Consider the following 27,239-nt stretch of genomic DNA (forward strand, 5'->3'; position numbering starts at 1 on the left):
GCTCCTTATTTTTCTGTTCCACACTGTGTTATTCTCCCAAAGCTAATGAGGTGGGGGGACAAGCGGAGAAGAGGAGAAGAATAAAGAAATTGGCCTCTTATTGTCTTATACTTGTGGAGTCTGCCAGTCAGAATTTCTTCCTGAAGTCATCCATGAAGAGACGACTGGTACCACATTAGGAAACCATGTTCCCCAAGTTTTGTAGTAGGACTAAACAGATGTTCCTGAGAAGTACATGTGGGACATTATGACTTTATGTATCAAATTTGACCCTTGTATCAAATAAAAGAAGAAATCAGGAAAAACTTTCAGTTTTATTAGAGTGTTCCAGAAAGATGCAACCATTTCTCTTTTACCCCAGTAATTACCTCCTAATCTTCCTTGTACAGTCCATTGGTCAAGCCAAGCTGTATTCTCTGAGAAATTCCATTTCTTCTGCTTAGGAAGCACCACTTTTACAGGTAGAAGTCTTGGCTCTTTGGATCTCCTAATGTTTAATAAACCCCCGGACTTTTGTGTTTTTATAGGTGTGAACTGTCACTCTAAGTGGGTGGGGAAGCTCAAACCCCTAAGTAGATCCTATAATTCCAGTACAGTCTCTCCGCTAAAGACTTACAACTAGTTTCTACATGAGCTACTTAAAATCAAGGACATCGTGCCTCAAGGAGTAATGAAGAAGTTACAGTCCTCATGTGAATGGAATTTTGACTCTATTCCTTGCAAAATAATAACATTGCAATTATTGAGTTAAGGAGTGTTTGACTCCTCTTCTTCCTGATGACATTATAAAGGTTTGTATTTGTGTCTCTGAGGTATGGGAAACAAGCAATAACAAACCCAAAGAGATTGATTTTTTTTTAAATGTTCAAATCCTTCCTTTGATGAGGTTCAAGGAATTGATTCTGTTTCTGGAACAGATAGGCACATAACAGAGAAAGATAAATGGCTTTGGCTACAAAATCTTCATTTTTCCCTTGGCTCTTTGGCAAGTTAAGAAAAAACTATAACTTCTATTTGTTGAGCAGTTGCTATATGCCAGGAAGTTTACATACTACCCTCTATTATTAAATACTCATGACAACTCTGTTTTTAAGGTGGGAAAAACTAAAGATTAGTTCTCTTAAGATCATACCATTATTAACAGTACTCAGCAGAGTGAGGGTTTAAACTCAGTCTCTTTGACCTCCTGACCTTCTACTCAGTTCTTTTCACCATTATACCCATTGGTCTCTCTATAATGAATAAAAATTGTAGAAATTACTCATCCTCTAGCGATTTCATTGTTGATGTCTACACTAAATGGAATTCCAAGTTGTTTCCAAACATGAGAATATATTATTAGAATTATTCAACTCTGAAGCAACTCACTCTAAAACAATCTTAGAATGTCATGGGACAGATGAATTGTACAGTAATGGATACAGGGAAAAATATGAGACCCCTGCCTAGACAAGTATTATCAACAGCATAATAACTTTCCCTTACTATGCCTTCATTATGTGGCTGGCACTGTGTTAAATGGTTCTTATGAATTATCTAATTTACTTCTCAAGACAATCCTAGCAGGTAATAACTATTATTATCTTATAATGGGGGAAATTAGATCTGGAGAATTTAATTATCTTTCCCAAAGTAATACAAGCTAATAAATGGTAGACCCAAGAGTTGAACTAGGGTAGTCTGATTCCAAATATGTGCCCTTAGCCACAAGGAGCTTATGTGAGATAACTATAAAATAAAGTCCAAGACAAGAGTAAGATATTTGTTGGGCAAGTATGAAGAACAAAATAATTCCAAGAGAGTTGAAGGATTTTGGATAAGGGATGATGGATAAACTGACAAGTTTGGAACTGCTTATTTTTCCTTGCATATTAACTGAGTCAGGTCATGGCTCTTTTGAAAATGTTTTTCCTACTAGGTGTCAAAAAATAGAGGATTAACTATAAGCAGACACTCAATTTCCCAAATCAAGATTTTGTTGGAAGTGTAGGTATGTTACAGTTGGTTATTGACTGACGACTACAGAACCAATCAAGCTCTTTCATGTCTTCCAGGGAACTAACAACTGTGAGTGCCCAGTAAGCGTCAAGAGGCTTAACCCTGTTGACAGAAGATGAACACTCCCGTTAGGGCTCCACTTCAAAATGAAGTACACTAGTTCTTAGGCAGAGGGCTAGAAGAAGGAAATTGGAGGACTATGTCACTTGTAACATTTTTGCCACCCCACTAATAATGGGCTTCTGCTTTAAAAGTCTAAGCATGCTTAATTTGACTTCCCACAGTGTGGAAAACTATGTGCATCTATGTCTGCAATGACAATATATTTTTCAAAAAGATCTCAAAATTTAACTGGCTTCCAGCAACAAGCACCTTACTTCTGGCTCAAACATCTGTGAATTGGCTGAGGTCAAACTGGTTTAGACTTGGCTAAGTTAGGCTTAGCTCCAAGCTGTAGAGTTGGATTTAGTGAGCTCCATGGGTCTCTCATTTGCCTTGATCCAGCAGCTGCCAAGGTGTATTCTTCTCATCTATAAAGACAGAAACACAAGACAGGAAGTTAAACTATGCAAACACAGTTCAAATTTCTATTTATGCCACATCTACTAACATTGTGTTGATCAAGGCAAGTCACATGACTAGGCTTAAAGTCAAGTGGCTGGAAAGTACACTCTACTCATCCTGATGGCATGGGCAAATTGTGAGGAATTAGAATCACTAATAAAATCTAACATTCATAGATGGATCAGGAGAAAATAAAGTATCAAAATGAGTGCAAAGAGCTGTAAGTGAAAACCATCTTAGACACAAATTAATTGTCCCCACCAATATTTTATCTTTCTTTGCTGCTGGCTGTATGTATATAGGCATTTCACATGGCTATCTCCTTCTTCAGGGTCAGCATTTAGAGGTAAACTCTATGGAAAACATATTCTAACACAGAAAATCTGGGGTTATAATGGGATTTCTCGGAAATGGAATCTAGGGATATGGTAGCTTTGAAGGAAAAAACAGTACGTGATTGGCATTCAGCTTTGTCTGGGATCTAAGAAGCTGTGCTGTGGTCAAATAGAAAGTCAACAGTGGTAATTTACATTAGTAGGAAAAGAGAAACCATTTCATAGAGAGCCAGAACTTGATGCCCAAGGATGAGGTTAAATTATGAAGCAGATGATAGTTAGGTATTTAATTAGCTAGTGTGGCAACCGATGACCACAAAAATGTATTAGGAAAGCACATTTAATCTGTCTTGGGATATGTTTTCCTCTCTCAGCCTTCATCTGAGGTGGCTCATCATTTTTAATTCCTTGGGCCATCTTTCCTTTTTCTGTTCTGTTCAAGCAATTCTAGCTAAGCCTGTATGATATCATACTACCTTTCAAGCTGGCTTCGTCTTTTTTTTTCTAATCTTCTATATTTTCCCTGTGTTATTCACAGATCTTATTTGTCTTGCTGTATTTGGTACTCTCTATGAGTTTCTGGAACTCCAATCTTAGATTTTTTTTGATTCAGGGACTTCTGACATTTCTACCTCATTATATGCCACTCTTAGCAACTGATGATACTTTTCTCTGGCTCAGTGTCAGCTGTACCCTCTCATAATAGGGTAGGTGGCTTATTGTCCCATACTTCTAGGCAGATCTATTGCTTCTTTTTAATGTTTCCTGGTTCCAGGTCTAAAAAGTTTTTTATATTCATTTTAGACTTATATAAACAGTATTAAGTCTGATTTCTGTCTTCTACTTCTTCCTGTGTAGCTATCTTACCCTGAAGGGGAGATGGGGAGACAGGGAGGAAAGAAAGAAAGTAGGCGGTGGGGGAGAGAGAGATGAACAGAGAGGAAGAAAGGTAAATGTGTCAAGTGGGAAAGAAAGGGAGGAAAAAAGGATGATTGAATGGAGAGAGGGAAGGAGAAAGGGAGGAGGGACAAGGGAAGGAGAGAGAGAGAATGGAGGGAGAGAGAAAGAGAAACAAACAGAGAGAATGCATAAGGCAGAGATCCAGAAAGCCAAGAAAGAACTTGGACAGGTGAGAAAAATTGCATGGGTAGCTGATACCTAAAGGCTTTGCCATGAAGACCCCCTGACCCTATGATTGTTTTATGTGCAACATTCCCCTCTACTATACAAATGTAAGGGAAAGTGCTAAAGAAACGTAGAAAACTGATCCTATAAATTAGAAGAAACTGAAAGTTTGTAAACATTCAGTACAATGCAGATGCCCAGGTTTCCCCCCTTATTCCTGGAGTCCAGTATTACTGTTAGTAGACCTCTTTCAAATTAGAAAGCTACAGCCTTCCAACCATGCACATTAATAACCCAAATACCTGCCGAGAGCTGCTACTTCGTAAGTATTCCATCACTGCCTCTCAAGTTCCGACAGTGAAAAACGTGCACATCTCCCTCATCTCCCATTTCTGTAAACTAGATTTGCCAGTTGCAGCTGCCGAGGGGTGAGAAGCCTATAAACTTGGGGTATTTAAGACAAATTTGTTTTCCTGTCTGCTAGCTCCTGAAAAGACAATTAAAAAATTATGCTTAAGTAAACCCCGTAAAGCTTTCAACACCTTTAGGTAATACACATGTTTTTCCAAGTACCCCGTGTGCACGTAGACCCTATGATTTCACAGATGGTGATGGGATACTGTTGAGTCCAGATGTTGGAGGCAGAGCTTGTATTTGGCTGACTGTATTAGATGACGTTGGTTGGTAGGTGGATCCTGATATTGCACCCAGTGCTGGAGGTAGCACATGAATGTATCCATGTGTGCCATTCCAGGTAATGAGCTAAAAGTCCTGTCACCAAGGTGATATGTAATCTTCTTTCTCCCAAATCCACTTGAACATGCATACATTCTTATCCTACTTGTCCTCACTGCATATTTCACCGTGTTGGTGTCTTCCTCCTTGAAGTACTCCCTTCCTTGGTTTCTGTGACATTACACTCTTTGGGTAAACTTCCATTTTATTTCCTTTCAGGTTTTCATTTGCTCCACTGTATTTGTGTTGGTATTCCATTTTCTAGCCTCTTTGGTTTTCACTGTACAATCTACCTAGGTGGGCTTTTCTAATTACACAACTTTAAATATATATGAAATTCTCTAAATATTTTTTCTAGCCCCAAATTCCATAGCTCTTGACTTATATAACTGACAAACTACCCAATAGTTCAGCATGGGTTTTCCTTAGCAACCTCAAACCCACCATATTCCCAGCTGAATTTTGCATCTCCCATCTCCCCAAACAAGATTCTTTTTTATGGGGGCAATGGTGGATTCTTATTTCAGAAATGGTGCCAACATTGACTACTTGCCCAAATCTGAAATCTGACTCCTGCTTCATTCACATCCCAATACCCAGTCATCAGAAACTCTTATGTTTGTACTTTTTAATATCCCTTGGGCATTTTCACTTCTCTCCATCCCCACTACTGCCTCCATTGGCAGTCATTATCTCTGATGACAATCTGGATTATGGCAAGGCTCAGCTAGCATCCCTGTATTCATATACTAGCTGTCTGCAATGTATACTTAACACTGCAGCCAGAATGAGCTTCCTACTACACAAATCAATCACACCTCTTTCCTCCTTCTTTCTACTCTTTTATGGGCTCCCATTGCCCTTTCTGTAAAGTCCAGTACCCCAGCATGACTTACGAAGCTCCACCATAACTGACTCTTGCTCACTTCCTCATGCACATTGCTTACCTCTCCCTTTTGCACACCCTACAGTCTGGCCACACTTATCTCTTTGGGTTTTCCTGGACATGCCTTGCTGCCTTCTGCACTTGGGATTTTACACGTGTTCTTTCTTCCTGAAACAATCTTGATAATTCCTAATAATTTTTTTTTTTAGACACATTCTCACTCTGTTGGCCAGGCTGGAGTGCAGTGGCATGATCTCGGCTCACTGCAACCTCTGCCTCCCAGGTTCAAGCGATTCTTCTGCCTCAGCCTCCCAAGCTACAGGCATCTGCCACCATGCCTGGCTAATTTTTGTATTTTTGGTAGAGATGGGGTTTCACCATATTGGCCAGGCTGGTCTCAAACTCCTGACCTTGTGATCTGCCTGGGTCAGCCTCCCAAAGTGCTGGGATTACAGGCATGAGCCACTGCACCTGGCCAACTCCTAATAAATTTTTAAGACTAGCTTTATCTACTAACTCCTCTAAGAAGCCTTTGCTTCATTTACTCATTCATTTGTGCATTTACTAAATATTTATTAAGGAGCCTTTCTGTGTAAGGAGCCTGTCTTTGTTGTTTGGGCTACTGTAAAAAACTATCATAGACTGGGTAACATAAACAAAAGAAGTGTATTTCTCACAGTTCTGGAGACTGAAAGTCCTGGATCAAAGCACTGGCAGATTTGTTGTCTAGTGAGATCTTGCTTCCTTGTTCCTAGGTGGCCATCTCCTTGCTGGGTAGAAAGGGTGAGAGAGCTACTTAGGGTTTCTTAATAAGGGCACTAATCCCATTAATGAGGGTTCTGCCCTTATGATCTAAGCACATACCAAAGGCTTCACCTCCTAATCCCATCACATTGGGGATTAAGATTTGAGCATATGAATTTAGGGAAAGCACATTCATTCCATAGCAGAGCCACTAAATGCCTGGGCACTGGGTTTGTTGCCAGCCCTTAAGATGTCCCATGGCAGCCATACTTAGCTCTCTGTATTTGTCACATTGCATTTAATTTGCTTTTTATGTGAATGTCTCTCCCACTAGACTTAGAGTACCCTCTGGGCAAAACCAATGTCTTATTGGTTTTATTGTTTTGTGTTTTTGCAACACCCAGTTCAGTACCTGACATATAAAGTAGGTGTTCATAAAATATGTCTGGAATAAATGGATGAATAAACCACTTTTTGAATTTTTTCTTCACTCTTAGAACACAGAAACAGCAAGATTAGGTTAATCATTAATCTGAAAACATCTTTTTTTTTTTGCACTTAGATTGGCAGAGCCACTTCATCTCAGCACCTGCTCCTGAGGCAAAATCACAGAAATCTTTCTAGAATCTCTTGCTAGCTCTTCATGGTGTAACACCCCTAACTTCAATGAGTGCAAGGGACAGAAAGCCAAGGCTCTCTTAATCTGCCCCAGTTTCCCTTTCTTGCTGTAATGTATCTTGAACGGGGCATGAACAAAACCAGTTTCAGGGTGAGGAAGTGTGTAATTTTGTACACACTGAAGATGGGGACATAGTTTCCTGTACAGAATCTCTCTAGTTTCCTGTACAGAATCCATTTTTTTTCTCTTTCAGAAGTCCTTTATTCCATTTTACTAAATATCTGTGTGTTTCCCAGGAAGAAAAGCTTGATCTCCAGGCAGCTTTCAGTTTCTGCCCTGCCTCCGTAGATGGTCTTGGGATTGTCATGGCAAGCGTATGGTAAAACTAAATAATATTTGTTGAATTGAATTATCTTGGTGGTAAGGGAAATAAACCCTGTGGACCCCACAGAGCCACAATGGTCAGGATCTTTGTTTGTTTTTAATCTGCTTTAAACCCTTGGGACTAGAAATAGATGAATAAAAACTGGCCTCAGAAATCCCGTTATGTATTTCCCTCATTGTCTTTCTTCACTTTATTTCTAGCCACAATATATATGTGGCTTACCTTATAAGCCACAATCTCATAAGGTAAGAAAATGAAGGTATTTCTGTGGGCTATGTGAAAACAGTTCAGTTGACCTAGACTTTGATGTCAGTTTCAGGGCTGATCCAATTGCTAATGCATTGTGCACATATATAGCATAGAGAAAATGCACACAGGGTCCTCACTATGATTCTTAGGGACAGGCAATGGTGTTCAAATAAACATAAAAGACCAAGGAATCCCATCATGTCTTTTCTTACATACTTCCCTGTATTATGCTGAAAATGATGACATAGAAGGAATGGGAAAGAAAGGACAACGCATCCTTCTTTTTCTTTACTCATCATTAATCGTCAGTAAGTAGAAGGGAGAAAGTATTGGTAGAACTGTAACAAGGAGTGACATAAAAACTGTTGAGTTAGTTTTGTGCAGCATTTCAACTGTTCTGGTAAAAACAAAATACAAATACGTGACTTACGAAATACAAATTATATTTTCAGTGACTCCTCATATGAGCAAAATGTTCTTATATTTGCATTTCAAATTGTCATTGCATGATATAAAGATAAATAGCAAAATTAATGCTAATAATTTAAATTTTTATTTTTTCTTTACCTACAACAAATTAAACAGCAAATTAAAAAACACTATGATGAGTTAAGAGAGAAGACATGGAAGGAAAAAAAAAAACCCTTTGGATCTTAGTGCCTTTAACAGCCCTCTTTTTCCTGTCTTTTGAAGGAGAGATTCCAAATTTTCATTTTGCACCTGGCCTGGCAAAATTTTTAGCTAGCCATGATTACTAGACTAATGATGTGAACATTCATTCAACAAAGATTTCCTGAGTGCCCACTAGTACCTAGACTTAAAGAGATAGATTAGAGAGATGCCTAAAGAGATAGGTAGAGAAAACTAGCTGAGACTACAAAGTAGAATGTAAGAAACAGAGCTGGGGAGGCACAGGCAGGTGCCCTTATAGTGAGACCCTGGTACAAGCTGGGGAGGTTCCTCGTCTTGTTTGTTCCAGGGAGACACTGAGATAAGGCTCCCAAGGATGCTGCCTGAGCAAAACTCCATTTTGTGCAGGTGAAAGCTGTGCTGTGCCTCCTTGCTTCGGACTGGAGTGAGAGTCAACTTATTTGAGCAATCAGAGTCTTTCACAGGCTGCATGACTTATTCTGGGGTCTTCTCTGCTCATAGTATAGCTTGTATTCCTTTGGGAGGAATGTCATATATCCCCTGTGTCAGCTAAAGGATCTAAGATGTGGGCTACTAGCCTGTCTCACTACTTCCTAGTCTATCCTTACCAGGGGCTGGTAGAATTTAGCCCTTAATACTAAGGTCTTAAAAAAGAACAGGATCTTACTTACTTGAGTTTAGTGGACAACCTCCTCTCCTCCTTAATCTTCCACCCTTGGCCATGAGGTAAGATACTCTCATGGCCCAGGTATCCTTCTCTTAGAATGAAAGTAGCTGATGATAACCATGTCTGTGACTCCTCTTAGACCATGGCTTGACAGCTTCTGGACCCACAATTTCAGCAACGTTTAAAAAAAGAAAGTCCAAGGAGTTGAGATGGGGTTTGAAATGTCAACCAAGTAAGGTGAATGTGTACTCATTCTTATTAAGTCTTATCTTACTTAAGCCAAATAAGACTTAATAAGAATGGGTACACATTCACCTTACTGGGTTGGTTCTTCTAAGTATTTCTCTCCCATTGCCCCTCAGTGGTCCTGAGCCCCCTGCCACTACTCCACACCAAAGCTGCTTCATCAGATGCAGGAACTTATATTGGTTTATATCTTGTGAGGCCTGGTCATTGCTAGTGAGGGCCTATTTTTATTATTCACTCAACTGTTTTTCTACTAGTTAGTGTTACAAATGAATAAAACTAACTAGTAATGCTAATTAGTAACACTAACTCATTAGTAACACTACTAACCAGAGTTACTGTCATGGGATTTTTGGGGTGTTGCTTTGCCAGCCAGAAACCTCTGTGGCCAGTGGTGCCTTTGCCTGAGTTTTGCTTGGGCCCTCTGGACTCATTCTGCCAACTTGGCCTGGCAGGCTGTGCTTGGCTCGTGCTACTGACCTGAATCCCATGCCTGCCAAGGGAAAACCAGGTGCAAAGTGGCAAGGGGTATGTGAGTGAGCATGGGAGGGTCCAGCCACTGTGCACAGGCAGGCACACCAACTGGGGCAGGGTGGGCAGCTCCACGGACCAGCACTGGCGCTGGCTCCCTGCGAGGCTTTGGCTGGACCAGGCATCCTGCAAGCAGCTTCCATGGCTGGCACTGGGAATGTGGTAGTGCCTGGAAGGTTGGATATGCCAAGAACTGCAGAGCCCCAAAGAGGGTGTCACAGCCCTGACTAAGGGAGCCCCTAGGTTCGGGCTCCCCGAAGGGCCACAGCTCTTCTCATCTTCTCTCTCTTCTCCTTCTTGGTAATGCCAAAGTAGTGAGCAAGGGGCATGTTTCAGCCCTGTTTGTGTTACAGCTCTTTTAGCCCCACCATTTGGCAGGTCCCGAGTTCTTGTCCTGTGTCCAGGAAGAATGAAGTACACAGACAAGTGGAGGGTGAGCAAGGTGAAGAGGAGTTTTATTGAGCAGCAGCTCAGAGGAGAACAGCTCAGAGGAGACCCGCAGTGGGTAGCTCTTCTCTGCAAGCAGGGTGTCCTGATGAGTGTCTAGCCCTCAGTAGAGGGGAGACCCTGGAATGGGCCGCTCCTCTCTGCAGGCAGTGTGTCCTGATGAGTGTCCAGCTCTCAGCAGAGAGGGGACTCTGTTGTGGGTAGTTCCTCTTTGCAGCTGTTTGAGTCTGGCTGAGTTGGAGCTTTTATGGGCCTCAGAGGGGAATAAGTGTGTGCCAGTTGGTCCATGAGTGGCCATGGGTGGGCCTGGAAAAAGCACCGCAAGTTCCCACTCCTGTTTGTGGGACCAGCAGCCTGGCCCCCAGGCTTCAGGCTCTCCCTGGCTTGAAGGTGGGGCTTTACCTGGGACCCGTCCCTTTCCACCCAGGAGCCTGTCTGCCTCCTGCTGTCATTCATGGCGTCCAGGCTGTTCATGCCATGGGGCACCTGCAGGTGAGTACTGAGCTGCCCTTAGCCCCACCTCAGCCTCCTTCCCATGCTTGTTGGCACCCAAAGTCCAGAGGGGGCCTAGGTGGCAGGGGGCTGGCATAGCAGTGCTGCCCTGAGTGTGTGCACGCCTGGCCAGGCTGTGACAGCACCTGGGTGTGGCCCCAACCTTGCTCCAAGATTGGAGCAGATGCCAGGAGCAGGCCAGGCAGCGGGAGCAGATATCTCTGAGCCTTGGGGGCAGGTGGGGCCTTCCCAGGCCCCTAAGAGTGCAGAGATGCCCAGATCTGCAGCCATGGCTTAGGTGGCTGCAGCTGCGCCAGGGAGGGCAGGGCTCCTGCCTACTCCCAGCCCCCGTTGGCTCTGTGTAGCACAGAGCCCTGGCTGTACCTCTCCGACTGTAGCCAGTGTCATAGCAGCAGCTGCTCTAGATGGGCCGCTGCTGTCATCAATACTAGTCGGTTTTATTCACTCAATGGTTTGTTCTACTAGTTAGTGTTACTAGCATTACTAGTTAGTAATAATAGTAACATATTACTAGCATTACTAGTTAGTAATAATAGTAACATATTACTAGTTAGTAACTAGTGTTAGTAGTTAGTGTTACTTTTAGTAACACTAGGAACTAAAACTTGAGGACAGGGTTTTTTTTTGCATAAAAATATATTTATATTGCCAAAATGTTCTTTTTTTCTTAAAATGGGACTTTCTTGACAAAAGTTGTCATTCATTCTGCTTTGCTCATCTCCCAAACGGAGTTAATCACAAAGTGAATTAAACAAAAAGCAACAACAACCTTGTACAAATAATATCTTTTGGAATAGGGAGATGGTCAAAGCCTCCCGATAAAGCTTCCCCAGAATCCATTGCCTTGTTCATTCCTTTAGTCAGGTATGCAATATTTATTGAGGGCTTCCACTTGCTAGGCAGTGAGGTGGGAACTGGATGTGAATGATGCAAAACAGATAGTTTCAGCCTTTGTGGAGCTCAGCCTAGAGTTTAGTTAGAGGCACATAAGTTTTTTAACTGATCATAAACTTATATAATTACAAACTGTATTTAGTATTATGGAGTAAATGTATAAAAACCTGTGATATCACAGAATAGGAAGTCACACCCAGTTTGGGTAAGAGTTCAGGGAAATTTTTCCTGAGAGTATGATGGGCTGAAGCACTGAGCTGCTGTTGAGAGAGCAACAGCCTCAACTCTTTATTTGCACATTGTTGGGCTCACCTTTTCATCATCTTTCTCTCACACCAGCTCTTGTGGCCGTAGTTCTGGCCAGGAATTCTAGAAAGGAGAAAGACTGTCTTGATGTTATAGTCTCTCTGAGGCACTGATGGGGTTTGAACTTTGCTCTTTCCACGAGCATTATTAAGAAGGAGAACTCGTTTTCTCTGCAGAAGGGCTGGGTTTGATGAGTACCTTGAGTGACCTCTGCTACTCCTCATCCATGTATGTGGTAAACATTGCTAACCAATAGAGGCACTTGTTCCTGCTGAGCTTAGATGAACAATTCTTACAAAATGTCTAGATATTTGCTTCCAAATGATTGGAGTTGCAGTGAAGCATGAAGTCTACTTGCTGTTCCACATCTCACATGCCTGCCTTGCTTGATGAATGGAACCCAATTGGTTCTATGTGGGCTTGAAGAAAGTAGATGCATTTAATGACTTGAATCTGCCTCTGACTTAAGATTCATCCAACATTTGGGTCAAGGAAATCTCCTATTCTACATTTGCAAATCAGACTCAGATACTGTTCTGGCCTCCTGGGAGCACACACAGAAGTTATAAAATTACTAGTGTAAATGCTTAGGATAATATTTGACACCTCATATTTGGTAAATAGATAATAAACACCAGTTTAAACCCTCATCATTATTAATAATATTATTATAAGTGAAAAGTCATCACTCTTAGGAAGAGTGGGAACTACCTGCAAAGATGGAGCAAAGTGAGGAAATGACATATTGTCATATGACCATTGTCAGATTTTTCTTAGCAACATTTTCACTCCAAATTCTACTTGTCTTTGAAGCCTGCACCTCTCCCCACCTCCCACTCACACACAAAATCATGGAGTACTGGTCCATCTGGCACTCGTTGTCTTATTACTGCCACTGGAGCTGGAGATGCCAAGAATAATGACCATAGCCCCTATCTTTAAGAAGCTTATATTCTAGTGGGGAGGCAGAAAATAAATGAATAGAGTCATCCCATTTTTGCCTTCATGGAGTGTGCAGACTGGAAGAGGGAGAGAGATATTAAATCAATAAACATATAATTTAAAACTTATATAAGTTCTGGGCTGCGTGTAGTGGCTCACGCCTGTAGATCCAGCACTTTGGGAGGCCGAGGTGGGCAGATCACGAGGTCAGGAGATCGAGACCATCCTGGCTAACATGGTGAAAACCTGTCTCTACTAAAAATACAAAAAATTAGCCGGGCATGGTGGCAGGCGCCTGTAGTCCCAGCTACTCGGGAGGCTGAGGAAGGAGAATGGCGTTTACCGGGGGTGGAGCTTGCAGTGAGCCGAGATCGCGCCACTGCACTCTAGCCTGGGTGACAAAGCAAGACTCCATCTCAAAAAAAAAAAAAAAAAAAAAAATATATATAAATATATATAATTATATATTATATATAATATGTATTTATTTTAAATAAATATATTTTAAATATATATTATATATAATATATAATTTTAAATAATATATATTATATATAATATATAATTTTAAATAATATATATTATATATAATATATAATTTTAAATAATATATATTATATATAATATATAATTTTAAATAATATATATTATATATAATATATAATTTTAAATAATATATATAATATATAATTTTAAATAATATATATTATATATAATATATATAATTTTAAATAATATATATTATATATAATATATAATTTTAAATAATATATATTATATATAATATATAATTTTAAATAAATATATATATTATATATAATATATAATTTTAAATAAATATATATATTATATATAATATATAATTTTAAATAAATATATATATTATATATAATATATAATTTTAAATAAATATATATTATATATAATATATAATTTTAAATAAATATATATATTATATATAATATATAATTTTAAATAAATATATTAAATAAATAATAAATTTAATAAATTTAAATAAATATATAATATATATTTATTTTAAATAAATATATTAAATAAATATAATTATATATAATTATAATTTAAAAATATAAATATAATTATATATATTATATATAATATACGTTCTGTGAAGCTAAGTAACAGGGTAGAAAAGAGGGAAAAAGAGGAAGAGCTAATTTAAAATTCGAACATTTAGTCAATCAAGACCTCCCTGAGAAAGCAGAATTTAAGGTGACGGTCATCTCATTTTTCTATGAATACATGCTTGGTAGGATGAGGGTTTCTCTGGTTATTTCAATAGTGTATCATACATATAAGGCCAAAGACATGCATTCTGATCAATCAGTATAAATCAGCAAACTCACCTGCCTTTGTCCTGCTCTTAGTGGAAAAATGGGAATGTTAAGAATACTCAAAATCTTTGGTAGAGTATCACTCGTCTGTCCTACTTTAACCTTTGTCTTCATATGAAACCAGATTATCAGGAAAGCGTGTAGCTCCCTCCTATCCACGGATGCGTGTCTGGGATAAACTGCTACTTGAACTAGCCATTTCTGGAGAGAGAATATTGGAAACAGGCACTAAGTGAGAAAGACACATCCTGGAAAGCTGGCCACAAGAATGGCATAGGAGTAGTGGGCAGAAAAGCAGACTTGATTTTGTGATGGGATCAGGTAACAGAAAATAAACAGACTGTTTGGGATGGGGCACAAAGAAATGCCAAATAAAGCATGCAGGGGAGATTGTCCCTCTGTTCTTTGGTAATACTGTTCTTAGAGAAAAGGCTATTCCATTTTGTTAGCTCAGCAGCAAAAAAGATAGAGATGAATTGGAGGAAGTTCAGCAGAGCAGTGAATGGGGTGGATAGTTAGCTTCTGGGGAAAAAGGTGATAACATATAATGCTTTTGAGGGACTGTCATAGTTTTCTGTTACAATGCTAGAAACCAGAGACACCAAGTGGGGAGTGAAATTACTTGGGTACACAGAGGTTTAGTGGAAAATGATTGCATATGGTTAAGAATATAAGAAAATAGGTTAAACTCAGGGATGAATTCTAGCAGAGAGGGAATCAATTTATCAGCAAATTAAGTCAGCATGCTAGAAGTAGGAGCAGCTTAATATAAAGTATAAGATATGTATCTTTCCTCATAAACTTTCAGCTGTGGAATGCCTACAGCCAAACCATTCTGTCTCTCACACACTTTTTTGTGAACAGTCTTGGTTCTGTCCTGAGGGCATTTGCACCTGCTGTTCCTTATGTCTAGATTTGTCATTGCCTACCTTTTCTCCCTCCCACCCAAGATCTCTGAATGGCTGGCTTCTCATTGTTATTCAGGTCTCACGTCTCAGCTACAATGTCACCTTCCCTTGTTTTAAAATGAGGCTGTGAGTAGTTAGCAACTTGACAAATATCACACCATGTCTCACTCCAGAACCCAAGCCCTCCAGTCTCAATGCTGCTTTACTTAATAAGAAATAGACATTTTAGTTAGAGAAAATATAGTTTAGCTTATATGATGGGAGATCTAGAGGTAGCAGTTTCTCATCTGAAGTCTAGGAAGGGTCAACCAAAAAGAAAGAAAATATCTGGTGACCACAAGCCATCACTTGTGGTATCTTAAAGAAAGCTTTATGGCAAAAATAGACAGGGGCCTGTAGGAGAGCCACTAGCTTACAGAATATTCAATGGATGGGCTTTTACCTAGATAATTATGAATAAGATTCCTGCTCACTAAACATCATCAGTCTCTTTTTGGACAATAAACATACACTAACCGATGGAAGGGTTTATTGATAAAATAAACTCTGAGTACTGTACCATTAAATGAGATGACATGTATTGTTTGTTTTGGAGCCATATATTGAAGTAAGTGCTTTACATACTGTATTTCATTTAATCTTGACTACAACCCTGTGAGGTAGGTACTATTGTTATATATCCATTTTACAAATTAGGGAAGTGAGGTTTAGAGGTTGAATGACTTTCTGAAGGTCACAGTGCTATAAAGTAATGGGAACAAGAGGTGAGCCAGATAGTCTAAAGGTACCACATCTATAAAAATGCACTGTACCCTCCACCCCTTCCTGTACCCTCAAACCCATATTGACAACCATTTTGTATAAATAGAAAATAATAACAATTATCTACTATTTGCCTATTCTATCTCAGGTGCCATACAGATTTTTATATATTTCATTAAATTCTTTACATATATATCATTTAGTATTTACAAAAATTTTAGTGGATGGGTATTATTGTCACCAGTTAATAGATAAGGAAATAAAGGATGTAAGTTGTTAAGTAGCTTGAGCAATATCACAGTGGAAAAGATATATTTGAACCATGCTCTTTTAATTATCTGGTACTTTCTCCATAAAAGTATTTTGAGCACCTTGGGGGAGGTATTCAAATCTTAATCTGTGAGAACATAACCACTTTTTTCCACAGCTCCTCTTTGAGGCTCTAAGCCCCCAACACAAGCCTGCCCTCCTACTCTGTGTCCCATGCTTTCCCCCGCTGTACAACAGGGCATGCATGGGTGCTCTTAGAGCAGGCAATGGAGTACTGGTTTGTGCTGGAAACAAGAAGCCAGTATGGCTACTGGAGGCACTTGCAGGTCTTCTACAGTGAGCAGATCAGGGTCTCCTGGAATAGCATTTCTTCTGCTCTTATAATTGTTAAGTTCATTTCTTCTGCTTCAGACTTCAGTTCAATCTCTAAGATCTGAAATAGCTAGTTGCCTGTTTAGAGTAGATACTATCAATATTTGTTCAGGGAATGCTTGAAGAAACCTGTACTCATTTAGTCTTTTTTTCCTTGTTTCTCCAACTGGAATAATTCTGTTAATTTCATAAAATTGTTACCCAGAGCTGCCATTTTCTGGTCTCCTAATTCATGAATGTAACTCTTCTCTGAATCCTTCTTAATGTCTCCATTATGCTCTGTAGTGTCCTTTACTAGAACTAAACATACCACTATTTAGGAGTATAAACAAGTTCAAACCTGATTCTCCATGTATAGCAAGATGTAGGAGAATGGCAAGTCAAAGAGTAAATCGATTGATGACGAGTGAATGATAGAAGCTACCAGATAAGTTTTAATCTTAGACTCTGTATTATGCTCTGTTTTCAATTAAAAAAATATTATTATATCCCTTCCCCTACCCATGAACCCATATGGCCCCCAGGACAGAAGGATAAGATAAAGTGTTTACTGACTTTGTTGGAGACCTCCCAGTAAAGACAAGTGCGTCTTTCCAGGGCCTTATATCTGAATTTTTATCTTGCACACCAAAAATATGCTCAATTAAAAGGGATTCAATGGATAAATAATTTTGGAGTCGTTGGACACACCATCTCCCTCTTAGAGTGTCTCAGTGTACATAAGCATATTTAAGTCCAGTAGTAAAGCCCTGTAGTCAGGAGACCTATTTAACTCAGTTGGCTCAGATGTATTTACATACTGCCTGTGATCAGCCACTGAAGACACTGGAAAAATTCAATTTTAGAGTAATAGAGTTTGAAAAGAACATTTCCTTTTATTTAGATATATGATGTGATGGTTAATAGTGCTTATCAACTTGGTTGGATTGAAGGGTGCAAAGTATTGTACCTGGGTGTGTCTGTGAGTGTGTTGCCAAAGGAGATTAACATTTGAGTCAGTGGACTGGGAAAGGCAGACCCACCCTCAATCTAGGTGGGCACAATCTAATCAGCTGCCAGTGTGGCCAGAATAAAAGCAGGCAGAAGAATGTGGAAAGACTAGACTGGTTTAGTCTTCTGGCCTACATCTTTCTCCCCTGCTGGATGCTTCCTACCCTTGAATATCGGACTTCAAGTTCTTCAGCTTTGGGATTTAGACTGACTTCCTTGCTTTTCAGCTTGCAGATGGCCTATTGCGGGACCTCACCTTGTGATCGTGTGAGTCAATATGCCTTAATAAACTCCCCTTTATATATCCATCTATCCATTAGTTCTGTCCCTCTAGAGAACCCTGACTAATACATATGGTATCTGAGAACACAGACTTCCTATATGAAGTTCTACACAGGTGTTATGTCACTGTTGAGCTGGGGGATTTCATGCTAGATTCCAACTTGTTCGGTTTTTTTAAAAAATCATATTGATGTTTTTGAAAACACTCTTCTAATCTTTATAGAAAATCTGTCTCCAATAAATTCATGTAAACCCCTTCAATTTACTTGAATTTTAGCTTGTGCTTCCTTTTTATACAAAGTTTTCCATAAGTTTAGTATTAGTGGTATGAAGTGGTTCTCTGCTTCAATTCATTTGTCTTAAATATACCTATTTCATGCTCTAAGAGATGTCTTTTAAATTAAATGAATGAGTTGCCTAAATAATTTATTATTCCATAAATTTATATTACATAATTCTTTTATTAGTTACCATTCATCTCTCTGACTTTAAAAAGATCGAATGTTGCTAGTCAGGTTTTATTTAGCATTTTATCTCTCATCACCCTGGTTACCTTGAGTGCTGTATTAGTTTACAGGCTGCCATAATAAATCACTACAAACTGAGTAGTCCAAAGAAACAGAAATCTATTCTATCCCAGTTCTGGACTCTAGAAGTCTGAAGTCAAGCCATCAACAGAGACATGCTCACTCCAAAGGCTCTAGGGAAGACTTCTTCTTTGCTTCTTCTAGTTTCTGGCAATCTTTGGCATTCCTTTGGCTTTGGCAGCATAATCCCAATTTCTTCTTCATCTTTGCATGGCCTTCTTCTATGGGTGCCTGTGTGTTTCTGTATCCAAATGTCTCTCTTCTCATAAGCACACCAATCATTAGACTTAGAGCTCATCCCAATACAATACATGATGCATCTCAACTTGATTACAGATTCAAAGGCCTTATTTCCAAATAGGAAACAGTTCCAGATTCCAAGTGGACAAGAATTTTGGGGAGACACCACTCAACTCAGCGTAGTCCACTCTCTGGGTCCCAAAAGTTCATGTCTTTCCTATGTGCAAAATACATTCCCTCCATCCTAACATCCCCAAAAGTCTTGAGTCATTCCAGCATCAACTCAAAGTCCAAAATCTTACTACATATAATTAACTTGAAAAGTTCAAAATCTCCTCTTCTAAATCATTTAAATCAGGTATGGGTGAGAATCTGGGTAGGGTCCATCCCGAAGTAAAATTCCTCTCTATTAGTGCACCTGCCAAACTAGAGAACACATTATCTATGTCTAGAATACAATGATGGGACAGCCACAGGGTAGAAAATTTTCATTCTAAAAGTGAGAAACTGGGAGGAAAAAAGGGGTGATGAGTCCCAAGCAAGTTTGCAACCCAGCAAGACAAGCAGAATTTCAAGGAGTGAGAATAATTCTCTGTGGCTTGATGCTCAGAGAGCCTGAGGCATCTGCCCTCTCTTCTTGGCCCACATGAGTGGTAGTGCTGTCCTTTCAGCCTGTCACTCTACCCTCAGTGCCCTCAGAGTCATGTTTCCTTTTGCTTTAAGGGTAACATACTTTGTTTGTTTGTTTGAGACAGGGTCTCACTCTGTTGCCCAGACTGGAGTGCAATGATGTGATCTTGGCTCACTGCAACCTTCACCTCCTGGGTTCAGGCAATTCTCTTGCCTCACCTTCCCAAGTAGCTGGGACTACAGGCATGAACCACCATGCCTGGCTAATTTTTTGTATTTTTCGTAGGGACAGGTTTTGCCATGTTGGCCAGACTGGTCTCGAACTCCTGGCTTCAAGCAATCCATCAGCCTCCCTAAGTGCAAGAATTATAAGTGTGAGCCACTGCGCCCAGCCATGGGTAACATACTTTTTCAGCTGAGTTGCTCTATCAGCCTGTTTCCTGCCTGTAGAATCCCAAAAGTCCAACAGCTTTCTTTCACTTCATTCCATCTCTGTCCTGTTTAGTCCAAGCTACGGCTTTTAGTTGTATAACATTCTCAAAACCCTGAATAGTCTTCTGTGAACATCATGTATAACATTCTCAAAACCCTTAATAGTCTTCTGTGGACATCATGGGGATCATGCCATTAGACAAAAAGTTTCTCCACACATTCCTCCTGGATACCCCGTCGCTATTCCTGGCCTTTGCTGACATGGCTGATTGAATGCATAAGTCATATGCCTAATCTCTTCAGCAAAAGAATGTCCAACTAGACCCCAACTTGGGGTTCTCTTCTAGAACTTGCTTTCTCATATTTTTGCAATGTGACTAGGCTGAGAATTTTCTAAATCATCTGGTTCTGGTTTATTTTTTGCTTAGTAGTTTCTTTCTCCATTTCTTTCCTTTCACATTTTATTATAGGCTGCAAGGAGAAACCAGGCCACACTCTGTTTGGGAACCTCAGTTAAATATCCAAGTTTATTGCTCGCAGGTTCTGCTCTCTACCCAACAACAGACTACAATTCAGCCAAGTTTATTCTACTTTCTAACAAGGATCACCTTTCCTCCAGTTTTCAGTAGCATGTCCCTCATTTCCATCTGAGACTTCACCAAAGCATCTTCAATGTTCATATTTCTAGCAACATTCTGTTCATGACAATAGGTATTCTCTAAAACAATAGAAATTTCCCTACAGTCCTCCTTCTTTACTTCTTTCTGAGAGCTCATCAGAATTGCCTTCAATGTCCACATTTCTGTTACCAAAAGGGGGTCCTGATCCAGACCCCAAGAGAGGATTCTTGGATCTCATGCAAGAAAGAATTTGAGGCAAATCCATAGGGTAAAGTGAAAGCAAGTTTATTCAGAAAGTAAAGGAATAAAAAATGGCTACTCCATTGGCAGAGCAGCCCAGAGAACTGTTGGTTGGCTATTTTTATGGTTATATCTTGATTATATGCTAAACAATGTGTGGACTCCTCATGAGTTTTCTGGGAAAGGGGTGGGCAATTCCTGGAACTGGGGGTTCCTTCCCCTTTTCGGCCATATAGGGTAACTTCCTGATGTTGTCATGGCATCTGTAAATTGTCATGGCACTGGTGAGGGTGTCTTTTAGCAAGCTAATATATTATAATTAGCGTATAATGAGCAGTGAGGACCACCAGAGGTCACTTTTGTCACCATCTTGGTTTTGGTGGGTTTTGGCCAGCTTCTTTATTGGAAGTTGTTTCATCAGCAAGGTCTTTGTGACCTGTATCTTGTGCCAACCTCCTGTCTCATTCTGTGACTTAGAATGTCTAACCTCCTGGGAATGCAGCGCAGTAGGTCTCAGCCTCATTTTACCCAGCCCCTGTTAAAGATGGAGTTGCTCTGGTTCAAACGCCTCTGACATTTCTATTAGAATCTCTTCAAAGCAATCTAAGATTTTTCTATCATGCACCTAAAAACTCTTCCAGCCTCTATCCATTATTCAGTTCCAAAGCTACTTCCATATTTTTATTTATTTATTTATTTATTTACACAATAGCACCCTACTTCTTGGTACTAAAATCTCTATCAGCGAGGGCTCTCAAGAGAAACGAAACCAATAGAACATACACACACATATACATATATGTACACATATGTGTGTTCTTTATATGAGTGTGTATATTAACGAATACGCATACATGATTTATTTTAAGAAATTGGTTCGTAAGATTGGGGCCTGGTATATCTGAAATTTGTAGGGCAAGCCAGCAGCCTGGAAGCTTAGTCAGGATTTCTATGTTGCAGTTTTGAGGTCAAATTTCTTCTTCCCTGGCAAACCTCAGTTTTTGCTCTCAGGACTTCCAATTGATTCAGTGAGGCCCACCCACATTATTGAGGATAATCTCTTACTTAATGTGAGCTTATTTTAGATGTTAAACACGTCTACAAAGTGCCTTCACAGCTGCACCTAGATTAGTGTTTGACTAAATAACTGGGTATTATGGCCTACCCAAGTTGACACATAAAACTGCACGTTACAAGTGCTTTTCCCTATTTCTTCTGCATTTCCAGATTATTTCTCTTAAATTGCAGAGAGCAGAGCTATACATAGCTATCCAGGTCTAACTTCACGAAGAATAGAATGGTTTCTTTTCATTTTCAATGTACATCATACTTTGTCAGACTTTTTTTTCAGTTGCAGCTCTTCGTTGGACTGGTGATAGTATTGGCTTTATTAATCTCTCATTCTCTCACTTATTCATTCCACAAACATTTGTAGAAGGCCACCAAGCTCTAGGGAGAGGAAAATGGTTTTATAAATTAGTGCTTTCTGGGATAAAGGAAATTTATAATCTGTACTACTTAATAGTAGCCACTAGCCACATGTGGTTTTCGAACACTAGGAGTATACTTAGTATTACTGTGGAAGTAGATTTTTATTTTCATTTAATTGTAATTAATTTAGGTTTACATTTAAATGTCTAAATGACACTACTGTATTGGGAAATATAATTTCCCTTATGCAATTGTGGTACAAAATTCATTGTGGTTTTTATCATTAAAAGTAATGGCAGAAACCACAATTATGTTTGTACCAACCTAATACATTATTGAGTTTCTTTTACTAAGATACAGGGATAAATTAGATTTTGATTATTGTTTCAGAGATTGTTAGAGTAAGAAGGAACTTCGAGCAAAAGAGGATTTTAGAGTTGTTTTTCTTTTGTGGATGAGGACTCAGAGGTCATATGAACTGCTGAGAATTAGAGCTTGTTAGCAGTAGTGCAGGACCCAGAACTTGGATTGGCTGCCTGTCAATTCAGTGTTTATTTCCCTACCCTGTTCTATGTCCCCATCTAATTAGACCATTTGATTTTCCACCTGGAATCCCCAGCCCACTTTGACTCTAATTAACAAATGCCTCTAAAAATAGAACTCAACTTTGCACACGGTTTCAGAATGATTGCATCTTCCCTGCTCCATGGCAGAATGATCTGGCATTTTCTTTCAGGAGCTAGTTGGCTTATGACACACCTACCACCTCTGCAGTGATGCCAAAGGGATGTTCTCTCTACCTGACCTGCATATGCTTTATTGGAGAAGGAAAACCATTCTATCTGCATAGCACTGAGTCATCAGTATTTTCTTTGGAGAAAAATGTCACTTGGCCCACATGATGCAATTTTTGCCATAGCACTTTCCTTGATAAATCTTTAGCTGACAAAAACAGAGTGAGAAGAGCATCCTAAGAGTTTCTCACAGGACTATTGATCTATTTTCTTATACTAGTGAACTTCCTTTGTTCATTTGCACTGTGTAAAATAAATGCATTTATATTGACAGTGTGCCTTTGTCAGGATACCATCCTTATTAAAATAAGCTTGAAAATATTTTGCACTATACCAATAACAGGATGTCATATTGACTCTGCATTTAATATAATATCAAAGTATTAAATATAGCCCATGAAGCACTCAAAGTTTGCTTCTGCTCTTTTTAGATAAAGTAAAATTTAAAAATAATGGCAATCAGTTGCTGCATAAAATGGACCTGTGCCTTGCAATGGGCATTGGATTTGAGGAGCAGATGGAAAGTATCTCTGAGATGAGAACGATTAAGTAATATAATTTTAAACATGCTTTGCCAACAACAGATTTTCTGTCACACTGGTCAATTATTAAAGATGAAATTCTTATACCAGCTAGAAATGAGGATTGTTATTTAAGGGAAGGAGACGATACTATCTCTTGGTGCAGAGCTTTATTATTTGGGGCCAGACATCCAATCTGCTACCTGTGATTGACAAGATGATCCAAGTTCTATCATTCCTATGAGAGGTGAGTCATCCATCCATTGCTATAAGAGAACCAAATTTAGATTGGATATTTGAGCGATAAACACAACTCCCCCAAATCTCTCAGGTAAAAACCAGTAATAACTAACCCTGAAAAATCTATGGGATAAAGGTCAGCAATTATAAAATCAACCACAATATAAAGACAGTAATCTGAGGTTGGGTAACTATTTTATTTTTATGGCAAAGTATTGTAAATTATAATAAATGTAGCAAAACTGAATCAATCCAAATGGCCTCTCTTTCATTCTAATCACCTTTATCATTCTGTTATAAACCAGCTTGCTCTGAAATATATAACTAGTGAAGTATAAGGTCCCCAATTTTTTAGGGAAAGAATTCTAGGAAAGTTTATTGTTTAATATTTATCAATATCATTTGATACTTGTATAATATCTTATTTCGATGAGTAAATTATATTTTTCCTTTAATCAGCCTTGGGACACTACTGGGAGTAATTAAAACATGTAAGATAATTATCAGCAAGATAAATACAATATCAGACTCTTCCTAACAATATTTTATGTTTAATACTTTCATTCAGTTAAATGGGAGTTTTGCCTGCACAAGGACTGCTGGTTGGGAAGTCTATAGAAGCAGCCAATATTTAAGTGGATAGATTAAAAATCAAATGCCCCTACATGACAAGAATAAGCAGAATGGTGTTTAGAGTGATAGGTACCAATGGCCATAACATTTCTCATATGCTAAATTCAGACTTTTCTAATTTTATTTGTATAGAACCTCTTTCCAGAAATGGCTCCAAAGAGTGACTTGCCAGTGCTGTTTTAGCAGGTGCTCAGAGGAGATGCCTCCAATGCCCAGCCTGAGCTAATGAATGGAAAACAATCTTTTCCCTCTCACTGTCTCAGATTCTTATAACGATCCTAAAAAAAGATGAGAAAACCATCATTACACCTTGTTCACAGATGTTGAAACCAAGGTATATAGCCTGCTTCACTCACACGGCTTCTTAGTGACAGATAGAGGACTTCACATGTTGCTGGGAACCCTTGGAGTTGGATGAAGAAGCCTGGAGCTCTAGTCTTAATGACTTCACTCTACAAAGAAAATAAACCAATATTCATGACACAGAGCAGCATTTCAGAATTGAGCAACAGGATCTAAAATGTTCTTATCTATTCCACTAACAAATTGTTATCGAGGTCCTAACTGTGTATGATCTTGTCCTAGAAGCTGTTGGCTATTTGAGGATTTAACAAATTCACATTTCAGCTTTCAGCGTCACCCTTTTATTGGAATACTTTCTTTCCTTTGTGCTAGTTTTGCTCTCTGGCAGGCTTTTCTCATGACGTGGCATCCCAGGGCTCTAACTTTCCTTCTCCTAGCCTGGAAAACTCACAGAAAAAGAAGGCGTCTTGACTGATGGTTCCAGTAAAAGTCACGAGGTTGAGTTTTACTGGATTGATCTGCATCATATACCCGTAACTGGACCAATCACAGTGGCCAGAGGGATTGGACACACTGATTGGCCAGGCCTGTGTCATGCACCTAGCCTTGAAGGCAGCATGTGTTGGGACAGCCCCGTGTAAAAGTTATTATAATGGGGTAGGCATTATTCTTTGAAGGAAAGTAGGATGTTGTCACCAGAAAAGGAGGAAATAGTGATGGGCAGGCAACAGCTGTCCTCCAGAGAAAAGTTAAAATGATTTCCATTTTATAAATGAAAAAGTTGAGGCTCAGTATGGTTAAGTGGCTTGAATATGAAAGGGAAAAAGATAAACAGTAGGAACAAAGTTCTTAACTTCTAGCCCTTGAGAAAATCTTCCCGGACATCCATCACATCTCTGAGGTCAGAAAGAAGTGTTCCAGTCACCTTTTAAATCCATTCACTGCCAATAGGAAAAAAACAAGAGAAGGAACTAATCAGATTTTATAAATTCCTAAGAGCCCCGTGTATATTTTGGCTGGAAAGTTGTTTGTTCACTTGTATTTAATGAATGGCCCCTTATCTGACAATGCTGAAACACCCATTTAAACTGCAACATCGGTATTTACGTCTGTTGAAGACATGTTGTTATTAAGTTGAAAAATTGCTATCTCAACAGACTCGTAGGCTTTTCAACTTTGTCTCCTAAGGTAAAAACTCTTTAACAAAGAGCCTTAGTGCTGTTAAGGACAAATGCTGAGAATTCAAAGAAGACACACTTTTGAGGGGATGATCTAAGAGGAATTACCACCCTGGATACCAATCAGGAAATGGCTGGCTTCACAGAAGAGCCGGCTCAGCATTTATAGTGATTAAGGTGCTTAGAATTACGCTTTCTTTATTGACTTTTCCAAGCCCTCTCTGTTTTGAAAAACTAAACTGAAGTGCAAAGCATTTTGTTAACTTAATGAAGAATTTCTGACTTGTTTGTATCTTCATTACGCCTTGTAAGATAGATACACCTGGAAAGAGTATTAGAATAAAAGCATGTTGATTCAAAAAAACCCTCCATAAGAAAATGACAGAAGCTGTGGCTGCTATTGATGTTTGGCGTGGGCCCCAGAGAGAGGTATTGAGGCTTGCTCAAATTCTTTCCACTCCTCTGAATTTTATAGAGACTCAGCAACATTACTTAAAAAAAAAAAGCCATCAAATAGGTTAAATGGTAGTCTAACATCGTGCTTTCTGTCACTTTGTCATTCTGATTGACAGAGGTGAGGACTTCTTTCCAGCCCTGTGGGTGTAAGTGCCAAGAAGATAAAAAGAGCCAAGGAAATGACGTAAGGTCACCATGTGTCATGATGTCCTGAGTAGGGAATGGTGGCCCAGAGAAGTGGAAGGGCAAGATGTCCTCTCAGGGGCGGCCATCAAACTCGTAGAGCAGGACTGTGAAATGCTGAGAGCAAAGGATCTGCAGGAGCTGGCTGGATGCCAGGGCATGCAGGGGCACATGACGAAGCCTTTCCTTTCAGGGGGATAAAGTGTCCTGAGCCCCAGACTCTCTGAGAGGATCAAGGAATGGGCTGAGAAGGGTCCGTCCTCTGCAGAGCTAGAAGTGAGTGACAGTGAGAACTGGTGTGATGTACGTGTATGTGTGTATCCAAATTCATGTTCATATCTGTCATTTTGCTTGATTTATAAGGAATAATCCTAATTATAATGCTACATGTATATTGACTCATTAAATCCTCACAATAGCCCCGAGAGATGAGACAGGCAAATGAGGAAGCCATCCTCTTTCTTGCTTTACAGAGGAGGACACCAAGGTTAGAGGCCGTCGGGTGATTAGCCTTAAAACAGGAAAGCATTAATTGTAGGCAAGTCCATGAAAAGGTAGCCAGGTAACATGGCATAGTGATTAATGGCTTAGAATCTGAAATCAAACAGACTTTTATATCTTGGTTCTTCCATAACTGTCACATTCTCTTAGGAAAGCTACCTAACTTTGAGCCTCAGGTGTCTCAGCTACAAATGAAATTGTGATAAAACACATCTTTGTAGGTGTTTGTAATAATAAAATTAGAAAAAATAGTTAACACAGGACAAATCCTGGCACAAGCTAAATATTTAATAAACATTGGTAGCTATTTTTATTGTTGTTTTCTGACATGTTCCCAAGACAGGATCCAGATATAAGAAAAGATAGGTAGCTTGTTGTCAAAAGTGGTGTTCAGGTTAGGAACTGGGTTTTGGAAGCAGGGAAAAACCTAGTTATCAGAATTCAAACAAAAGGTAAGATCAGACTTTAGCAGTA

The 27,239-nt window shown here is 39.3% G+C and overlaps 1 protein-coding gene and 2 long non-coding RNA genes across 9 annotated transcripts in view; 1 reads left to right on the top strand and 2 right to left on the bottom strand.

Annotated features, from left to right (window-relative positions):
* The window catches only part of SLC30A8 (solute carrier family 30 member 8), a 226,498-nt gene that overhangs the window by 133,925 nt on the left and 65,334 nt on the right, over positions 1 to 27,239 (top strand). The window lies entirely within an intron of this gene.
* Positions 296 to 27,239, bottom strand: part of LOC105375716 (uncharacterized) — a 436,284-nt gene continuing 409,340 nt past the window's right edge. For all 4 annotated transcript variants that reach the window (XR_007061067.1, XR_928569.3, XR_007061068.1 and 1 more), the window contains one exon: positions 296 to 2,528. This is a non-coding gene — a long non-coding RNA (uncharacterized LOC105375716). The remainder of the gene's footprint in view (positions 2,529 to 27,239) is intronic.
* Positions 14,319 to 23,538, bottom strand: LOC105375719 (uncharacterized). The gene is made up of 3 exons (XR_002956725.2): positions 23,475 to 23,538; positions 21,856 to 21,974; positions 14,319 to 14,393 (listed from the first exon to the last, which is right to left on the bottom strand). It is a non-coding gene; the product is annotated as an uncharacterized LOC105375719 (long non-coding RNA).

This window comes from Homo sapiens, chromosome 8, assembly GCF_000001405.40.
Source record: "Homo sapiens chromosome 8, GRCh38.p14 Primary Assembly".
In the NCBI taxonomy this organism is placed as follows: domain Eukaryota; kingdom Metazoa; phylum Chordata; class Mammalia; order Primates; family Hominidae; genus Homo; species Homo sapiens.